This window comes from Homo sapiens, chromosome 1, assembly GCF_000001405.40.
Source record: "Homo sapiens chromosome 1, GRCh38.p14 Primary Assembly".
Lineage (NCBI taxonomy): Eukaryota > Metazoa > Chordata > Mammalia > Primates > Hominidae > Homo > Homo sapiens.
The window spans coordinates 106073424-106082849 of record NC_000001.11 but is presented as its reverse complement, the minus strand read 5'-3'; the positions used below and the strand labels follow the sequence as shown (position 1 = coordinate 106082849).

The 9426-nt window shown below is 36.2% G+C and overlaps 1 pseudogene; it reads left to right on the top strand.

Annotated features, from left to right (window-relative positions):
* On the top strand, window positions 1471-2222 carry LOC126987 (tight junction protein 3 (zona occludens 3) pseudogene; annotated as a pseudogene).

Below are 9426 nucleotides of genomic sequence, written 5' to 3'. Positions count from 1 at the left end.
TAAAATCTGCAGTAGTTTTTCTTGAAACCACACCAACACTACTGCTGTGGGAACTTATTTTTTTAAGAGACATTTAGTATTATGGAGAAAAATTGTTTCCATTCCAAAATGACCGTACCGTAAGGGTGGAGTAGCCAAGGTACAATTTTGATGGCACCCTTGTTGTGAAAATTAACATTTCTGAAGCAATATTGGTGAAGGAAGACTCTAAGTCCCCAAAAGTGGATTACTGGACAGAAGATATTAAAGACCAAGGTGTTAGAGTAGAAGAATATGAGAAGACAAAACTTGAACATGAATAAGATACTACTGATTTTATTTCTTTAAAATATATATTCAGAAGTGGGATTGCTGGGTCATATGGTTATTCTATTTGTAGTTTTTTGAGGAGCTTCCATACTGTTTTCCATAATGACTGTGCCAATTTACTTTTACATGAACAATGTATATGGGTTTTCTTTTCACCTCATCCTCATCAATGCTTGTTATCTTTTGACTTTTTGACAATAGCCATCCTAACAAATATGAGGCAATATCTCATTGTGGTTTTGATTTGCATTTCCCTGATGATTAGCAATGTTGAGCACCTTTTCATATATCTGTTGGCCATTTGTATGTCTTCTCTGAAAAAACTGTGCATTTAAGTGTCTACTCCTTTGCTATCTTTAAATTACTTGTTTCTTTTTTGTTGTTATTTTTGCTATTGAGTTGTTTGAGTTCCTTATATATTGGATATTGATCCCTTATAAAATCACTATCTCAAAGAGATACCTCCACTCTGATGTTCAGTGCAGCATTATTTACAATAGTCAAGATGTGGAAACAACTTAAGTGTCCATCAATGGATAAATGCATAAAAAAGTAGTGTGTGTGTGCCTCTGTGAGTGTGTATAACACACACACACAATGGAATATTATTCAGTCTTAAAAACATGAAAATCCTGCCATTTGCAACAACAGAGATTTACCTGGAGGACATTATACTAAGTGAAATAAGTCAGACACAGAAATACAAATATTGCATGAACTCACTAATATGTGGAATCTAAAAAAAATTAAACTCATAGAAACAGAGTAGAAGGAAGGTTACCAGGGATCAGGGTGGGTAGAGAGGGTAGGGGAAATGTAGTGATGTTGATCAAAGGGTATAAACTTAAAATTATAAAACGAATAAGTGATGAAGACCTAATATACAGCATGGTAACTATAGTGAACTAAAATGTATATTTGACTTTTGTTAAGAGAGTAGATTCCCACAATACACACGCATAGAGTAACGATGTGAGGTGGTGGATCTGGTAATTAGCTTATGTTAATTATTTCACAATGTATATGTGTGTCAGAACATTGTGTTATATACTCCGAATATATACAATTTTAATTTTTCAATTAAACCTCAATAAACCTGAACACTAAAAATACTACCTGAAAATCACTGGATGTATGAGGACAATTTAGAAGGAGCTAAGTTGGCTGGCGCCTGCCTCCTGCCGCAGTACCCGCCGCCTCTACGCACAAGCCCAGAAGCTGCGGAAGCAGAGCAGCCACCTCTTCACAGCCACCATCCCTCTGAATGGCACGAGTGACACCTGGTACCAGGAGTTCAAGGCTATCATTCGAGAGCAGCAGACGCGGCCCATCTGGACGGCGGAAGATAAGCTGGATGGCTCCTTGGAGGACAACCCTCACCGCGGCCTGGCCGACAGCTCTGCTGACCTCAGCTGCGACAGCCGTGTTAACAGCGACTACTGGAGGAGACGGAAGGCGAGGGCGGCGCGTACACTGATGGCGAGCGCTACACAGACGGCTAGCGGGGGGCCCTACACGGATGCGGATGATGAGCTCCCGGCTCCAGCCCTGGACAGGTCCTCAGAGCCCGTGCAAGCAGATGAGCCCCAGAGCCCGAGGGTTCGTGGGAGAATCTCGGCTCATCAGGGGCCCCAAGTGGACAGCCCCCACCCCCAGGGTCAGAGGCGACAGGACAGCATGCGAACCTGTGAACCGGAAGCCCTGAAGAAAAAGTTTACACGAGTCCGCGATGCGGAGTCCCCGATGAAGATGGCTACGACTGGGGTCCGGCCACTGACCTGTGACCTCTCCCAGGCTGCCAGCTGGTCCGTCCTCCTTCTCCCTTCCTGGGGCTGGGACTCAGTTTCCTGTACAGAACCCACAACCTCACCTCCCTCCGCCTGGTCTTTATTAAACAGAGTATTTTCACACCAAAAAAAAAAAAAATAAGATTAAATAAATGATAAAATCAATTATTTTATTGGGTACCTCAGGGTAGCAAGGCTTGTAAAATCTAGGATTATAGCAATAGAAAACATATGAGATTTTATGTGGTGGATAGACTGTTATATATAATTGAGTTTGGAACATGGAAACGTTAAGAATGAACAGTTATTTGAAAAAGCAGATTTGTGGTTCAAGAGAAAGGGGTATAGATTTAGATACATATAGTGTTATACAGAGAGCTATAGAGAAGTATAGATATTGATATATACACACATCATATGTATATTTATATATTGCCTGTCTATATATTTATCTATATAAATCACAATATATAGATTTGGTAGTTAACACATACGAATTGTTTAGCACAAAAGTGATGAATGATGATAATCTCTAGGGCAAAAATTCATGAGGAATCAGCATAGAAACAGAACAGTTATATACACACATATATATCTTCACATGGTTACTTCTAGGGCATTTGTAGAAGAAAATAAATTAACAAAATAGAAGATCTGGTTAAAGCTTTGATGACTGTGAGGTGGAAGACAGAGGTCCAGCCAGAGAAGGAAGAACTGCAGTCCTGGCTGCTGCCCTGCTCCAACACAATTATATTCCACCTTACAGTGTAGGGCCCCCCCCTCGCCATCTGTGTAGCCCTCGCTACACAGACTGGTGCCCTCGCTACACAGACTGGTGGTCTCTATGAAAGGTTGTGCCTTTCAATTCTGAGCTAAATATGCACCTAGTCATGGAGTCAGTGTGACCATTGCAACTGGTGTCAAAACTATTAATGTAATTATCACATCGAGGGAAGGAACAAGGTGAAACAAGGTGTGTTATATTCAAGACCTACTCTCTGTTTCTATGAATTTAAATTCTTTTAGATTCCACATGTAAGTGAGATCATGCAACATTTATCTTTCTGTGTCCTACTTATTTAACTTAGCATAATGTTCTTTAGATACTTCTAGTTTGCACATCACAAAAATAAAATTGTAGGGACATCATGTAGAACTCATGTGACTCCAGGGAAGGGAGAGGGCTGATAAAAACATAGTGATTTAAGCCAAACTCACCTTCCCCATGGCTCCAGGGCTTAAAATCTTACACTTTTCAAAAGAGTTCCATGGTGCTTAGTGCTTAATAAGTACTCAACAGATTGCGTTTATATAAAATATTTTATTTAGTCTCTATTTAAAATCAAGCTATGTGGCCTAAACAGTATCATTGCCCCTATTAACAGATGAAAAACTGAGACTCAGTGACATTCAGTAAACTGTATCAGGATACACAGTGCAGAGTCAGGATGTGAATGCGGGGATGCTGGTTCAAATTCTTGACATAAGCTTCTACTCTGCTGTAATGCCTTCTCATCTAAGCCGGGGAGCTGGTTTTTCAACCTCCTTCTATCAAGAGTTATTTATTTTTTATTTATTATAACTGGCATAGATTGGTTTGTGAACATAAAATTTTCTGATTTGCCTATGTAAAAAGAACACATAAACAAAAAACAGTATTCTTTTATTACATTTTCATTATAAAAACTCATTTTGACGTGGTTCGTGTTTTTTTTTAATGTGTTTTTAAAGAGCTTATTTTCTATTGCATCATAAATATAGCATTCATTTTAATGGCATTCGCATTGCAATTCAAAAATATTGAATGCACATTATTGTGTGTGTGACATCTTACCACCCTCATCTTAAGCTATGATAATTCATTCACCTATTTAAAATTTATATGTAAAATCCTCATTTGATATTTAGAAAGTAAACATTACTAGCATAGGACACTTTGCAATAGTTCACATTTTAAAGCAACCATAAAGTATAAAATAAAAGTGAAAATTGTTAGCATTCAGAAAAATTGGGAGTATTTTGTATCTCTGTATGGGTACCTGACACATTTCTTCTATAATAACAAGCATTGTTCAAATATAATTGTATTCTTATCAACTTGCGAATGTGTTATTCATTCAGATTACCCATCTCTTCTATCTAACCTCCCTTAAATATTCAGGCAGTGAGGTGGATTTCCATTGTCAATTTAGCTAAGCCGGAACTACATTTCCCATAATTCCCCTCTTTTATATTTCTAATTATAGTGAGCCACAAACATTTTTTTTTTGGTAGGAGAAATAGATGGCAGAACAGGTGGGTATCCCTGTTTTACACAGAAGATCATTGGTGCAGAGACCATAGACACATTGTGGTCACTTTTTTGCAGGCTTATTGTGTTGGTGCAGGGCAGCAGCCAGGACTGCAGTTCTTCCTTCTCTGGCTGGACCTCTGTCTTCCACCTCACTGACTCCATGACTAGGTGCATATTTAGCTCAGAATTGAAAGGCACGACCTTTCATACAGACCACCACTATCATCAGTTTAGAGGTGGGGAGTTTATGGGTGAAGAGACACTGGCACCAATGTCCATCCTAGTGGATTTTGGCTCACCCTTGCATGTTCTAATGTTTCCTCATTTCCCACACTTTGTGCCCATCTTTCCTCCAGAACACCTTGTCGTGTGATTTTACCTTATCTTCTAGTGGTTATGCTTCTCGGATCAAACCGGACTGAAACAGGCAGATTCATATTTGAGCCGTATTTTCTGCTTCAATGGTACCATGGCTATACCCCTATCTTAACATTTATCAAATAGTCATAAATCCTTGTTTGTCTATCCCACTGCATTGAGGGTAACGTGAGGGAAGGATTTCATTTATACAACTTTTTATTGCAATAAACCAGTGCTGTGCATTATGCATTAAAGACATTGAATATATGCAGGTTGAACTGAATGAGTCCCGTTACAAATTTATGTTTACTTAAACATTTCCGAGAATTTATTTTTTCAAAGTAATGTATTTCAAGGAAGTCTAGAGATGTTACCACTTTTCTCCTCAAGGATTCATGTACATAAAAGTAGTAGGGTGAGCAGGTGTTTAATTATAAGGAAGCCCTTAGGTCAATTGCTGATGTATTTAATAAAGACTATTTTCACCCCAAACCACCTGTGAATCTTAGCTTTCATCATTCAAAGACTATAGCTTTGTTCTTGATTACATCTGGGGATTAATGGCATAATAGGCTATATCATTCTGTAAGCCTTAATCTATTATAATTCTTGTTTTTATGCTTATGACCGAAACCTCTGTCTTCAAAACATGTTTTGTCCTGCATTCACATACTGGGTCAGCCACTGCCACTCTCTGTTATTTTGGGCAAGACACAACATCTCCAAGTGTATCAGGGATAAAATCTATGTTATAAACAGGGTTATTCTAAGGAATAAAAGGGATATATGCAAATACAGCCCATATAGAGTCCTTAGAACATAATATTTATAAAATAAATATTAACTATTATTATCATCAGATATTATTTCAAGGAAATGGATGGAAATAACAGTAATGTATGACTGCTCATGAAATGCATAGTTTAATTCAAAGCTGATATACACACCTAGGTATAATAAAAAAAGTTCATTGCTCATCTGAAATTATGAATTTTTCATAGCTGTTATCAGATCCTACTAAATTAAGAAATCATCTCTCACTACATGGTAGGGAATTTGAAAAATTGCTATTTTGCCATTTCTGACAGTATACCTGCAATATATTAAAATCATAAGAACACAACTTTCAACATTTGTAGTTATAATTCACAAAATACTATTTACAGTGAAGACCTGGCTCATTCTGTCTCAATCCACTCTTCCTTATACAAATGTTCTCAGCAAGGGAGATGGTGAAATTGTTTCTTTTTTTAAAATTTTTTTTATTTTAATTTTTTTTTTGAGACAGAGTCTCGCTCTGTCGCCCAGGCTGGGGTGCAGAGGCGCGATCTCCGCTCACTGCAACCTCCTACTCCCGGGTTCACGCCATTCTCCTGCCTCGGCCTCTCGGAGTAGCTTGGACTACAGGCGCCCGCCCCCAAGCCCGGCTAATTTTTTTTTGTATTTTTAGTAGAGACGGGGTTTCACCGTGGTCTCGATCTCCTGACCTCGTGATCCGCCCGCCTCAGCCTCCCAAAGTGCTGGGATTACAAGCGTGAGCCACCGCGCCCGGCCAATTGTTTTTAATTTAATATTTCTTTTGTATATATGCTATTCCTAGTCAATTCTAAGTTAATGAGCAAAAATTCCCAAGGATTAAAAACGATCTGGTTTTGAAGGTTAGTCATGTATAGTGATATTATATTTTTAAATTATTCATTGAAATACAAGATTGAGTGAATATTAAGGATTATATTTTGTTCTCTATACTATGAATTCACATTTGTTAAACTGCACAAAACTTGTAAAGAGTTCTGCAGCATTGTTAGGATATTGAAACCACGGATAGGATGACGAACAACTTGTTTTAGGGACATTAGCCTTCCCAGTCTCAAAAGTCTGCCTTTCATCATTTCCACTTATGAACAATAAACTGTCAAATGTATGCAGACAATTATGGTGATAAAAATCATTATATGATTTTAAGGACCAATACAATCCTTCTGTTGTGTATTATCACACATATGTCTTGTGAATTCTTATATGTGTGTTCACTATTATTAATAAGAGTTAATGATAAGTTTTAAATAATCTGTACTCTGACACTATGGCACTCTTAGGACAATGTGATTAAAAGTGGCCAACAACTTAACATTATACCATGCCTTGTGCCAGAAGATTTCCTGGGAGGAAAGGATTTGAAAGAAACAACAAGAACAAAAGCCTTTACAAAGGAAATTGTGATGGTCAAAATGCTTGTGTAAAATACTTGTGGTAATTTCTCAAGATGCTTAGCAGGTGAGTTTTCTAAATTCAGTTCATCCCTATCACTGTTAAACATCACCCTGAGAATCCATAGTGCCAATTTCCTTTTATCTATAAGCTTAACATTTATATGTGTCGATATTATAATTCTAACTAATTACTTAATTTTAATCAATACACTAAGGAGAAATTTGAGACAGCTAATGTGATTTATTACTAATTCTAAAAACATTTGTCTTGCATTTTGGCAGTTGTGCTATCTCTGGAATGCCCCTGTTTGCTTGGCAGCAACCTGTCATGGTAGTTAGGATTGCTGTATGCAGGAGCATTCATTGACAGTTCTTCTCCTGGTAAATGTATACCTGCAGTGTAATCACACATGTGGTCTTGTTCACCTATAGCTTCACCAGGTATGAGTATATGTAGCATAAATATATTCATTCATATATGAGCAAAGCATCACATCATATGTAGATGACAAGAAATCTATTTGGTAGTCTCTCCTGAAACGTCATGCTACGTAAAGCTATGCAAGTACCTCTGTAGGGAGGAAACACTTCTCCTATTTTGTTAAGAATACTGGAGTGATTCTTAAAAACTGACATAGTTAAAAATTATTTTATAGTCATGAGAAGATTTTTCCCAAGAGCAACATTTAAAAATCAGTGATTCTGAAATCACAGACTTTGTGGTGGGGTGGGAATTGCTTATATTAAGTTATTAATAAAGACCTGCAGTGGATGGAAATTTAAATTGAGCATTCAAATATATAACTCTCTTCTGAAGCTGCTCTAGCATATACTTATATTCCAAAGCTCCTCAATAGAACTTGACCCTGTTTTTTATTGATAAATCTTTTATTCTTCTCTCATGAATTATTCAAGTAACTGTGTCAGGCTAGCTTATTCCCAGTGAGAGAAAAGGAGATGCTCAAATCATATGCTATCATTGCTTTTAAAAAAATCTTTACTCTTACAATTGTATATTGATACAATTATATGTGTTTTGGTGATTTAACATTCTTTATTGTTGAAATAAACATTATAGTTTGAAAAGCATTTGATTTGTTGAAACAATCTTAAATGGATAACTTTCTCATACTATTGGTCAACACCATAGTCACCATTGCACATTTCTGTTAGAAATGTGTAACCTGTCACACTGATATGGTAGAGTCAGTACTACTCTGAGAAGAGAAAGAAACCACTAGCGACTGTATAATTGCATGATAAGGCATAGACAGAAGGATATTCATAGGTGATAAGGCCAGAAAAATGGCCAGAAATAAGGCACTGATGTCTAGCAGACTGACTGCATGTGCATTAAAGTAAAAGGTAAATGTTGTCAGATACGATACATTTTTTAAAAACCTAAATTAGCTTTAGAAAGATTAAAGGCGAACTTATTAAGCAATTGACTTCAACTACAGAAAAATATCAAGTACCAAGTTAAACAAATGTGAGTATTTTGCCATAGAACATGAAGAAAGAAAACCAAAAAGATTTTGCTAAAGATGAAATAGAATTTGTTAATAGAAAATATTTTGTATTACAATTTCTTTATCTACCTACCTATCTATCTATCTATCTATCATCTATCTATCTAAGTTGTATTGACTTTAATCTACCAGAAGTAGATGGAAACTTTACAAAACTCCCTTATTTATGGGAGAGGAAACAGGAGTCTAAGTTACAATCTGCAAAGCCCATCAGGAGTTATAAGAAGTTCCTAGATTAGAAAGAACTTCTCTAGTTCAATCCATGCCGAACATTCTCTATCATTCTTTTCCTTTTAAAAGTCAATTTTTTCTCAAATATTTATTACCTATGAATTATTTTAATATTCAATATATGTACATGTGGGACTTCAATATGTCTACAATAAGTGCACTTATTGTACTTTACATTAAAGCAACTACATGCTTAATTTTTAAGAATAAAACATTTGGTATGTATGAAAGCATTGGTAATATGGTTATTTTTCTGGTAAATTACAAGACTACTTTTCCTAGAAAATATCTACAGTTCTATGTAGTCACAGTACAAGTAGCATTGGTAATATGGTTGATTTTCTGTTAAAGTAAAAGAATAATTTTCCTAGAAAATAACTACAGTTCTATGTATTTACAGTACAAATATGCCTTAATTTTAAGAATGTTTACATTTCAACCACTTATCTAAATAGAAAAATTTAATATATCAAAACCTTCTTTTATTAACTTTCTTTAAATAGATACATCTACTATATATGTCATATATATGACATATTATAGAATAGATATATTGCCAGGCTTTATTTTCAGCCAATACAAAACGAGATTATGAAAAGGTACAAAATCCGCTAAAAGTCCACCACTCATTAAAAATCTCCCACCAATATCGGTATAAGCATCCTCCCAGAGAAGTCATTTTCAGTATGTCTATATTTATATTT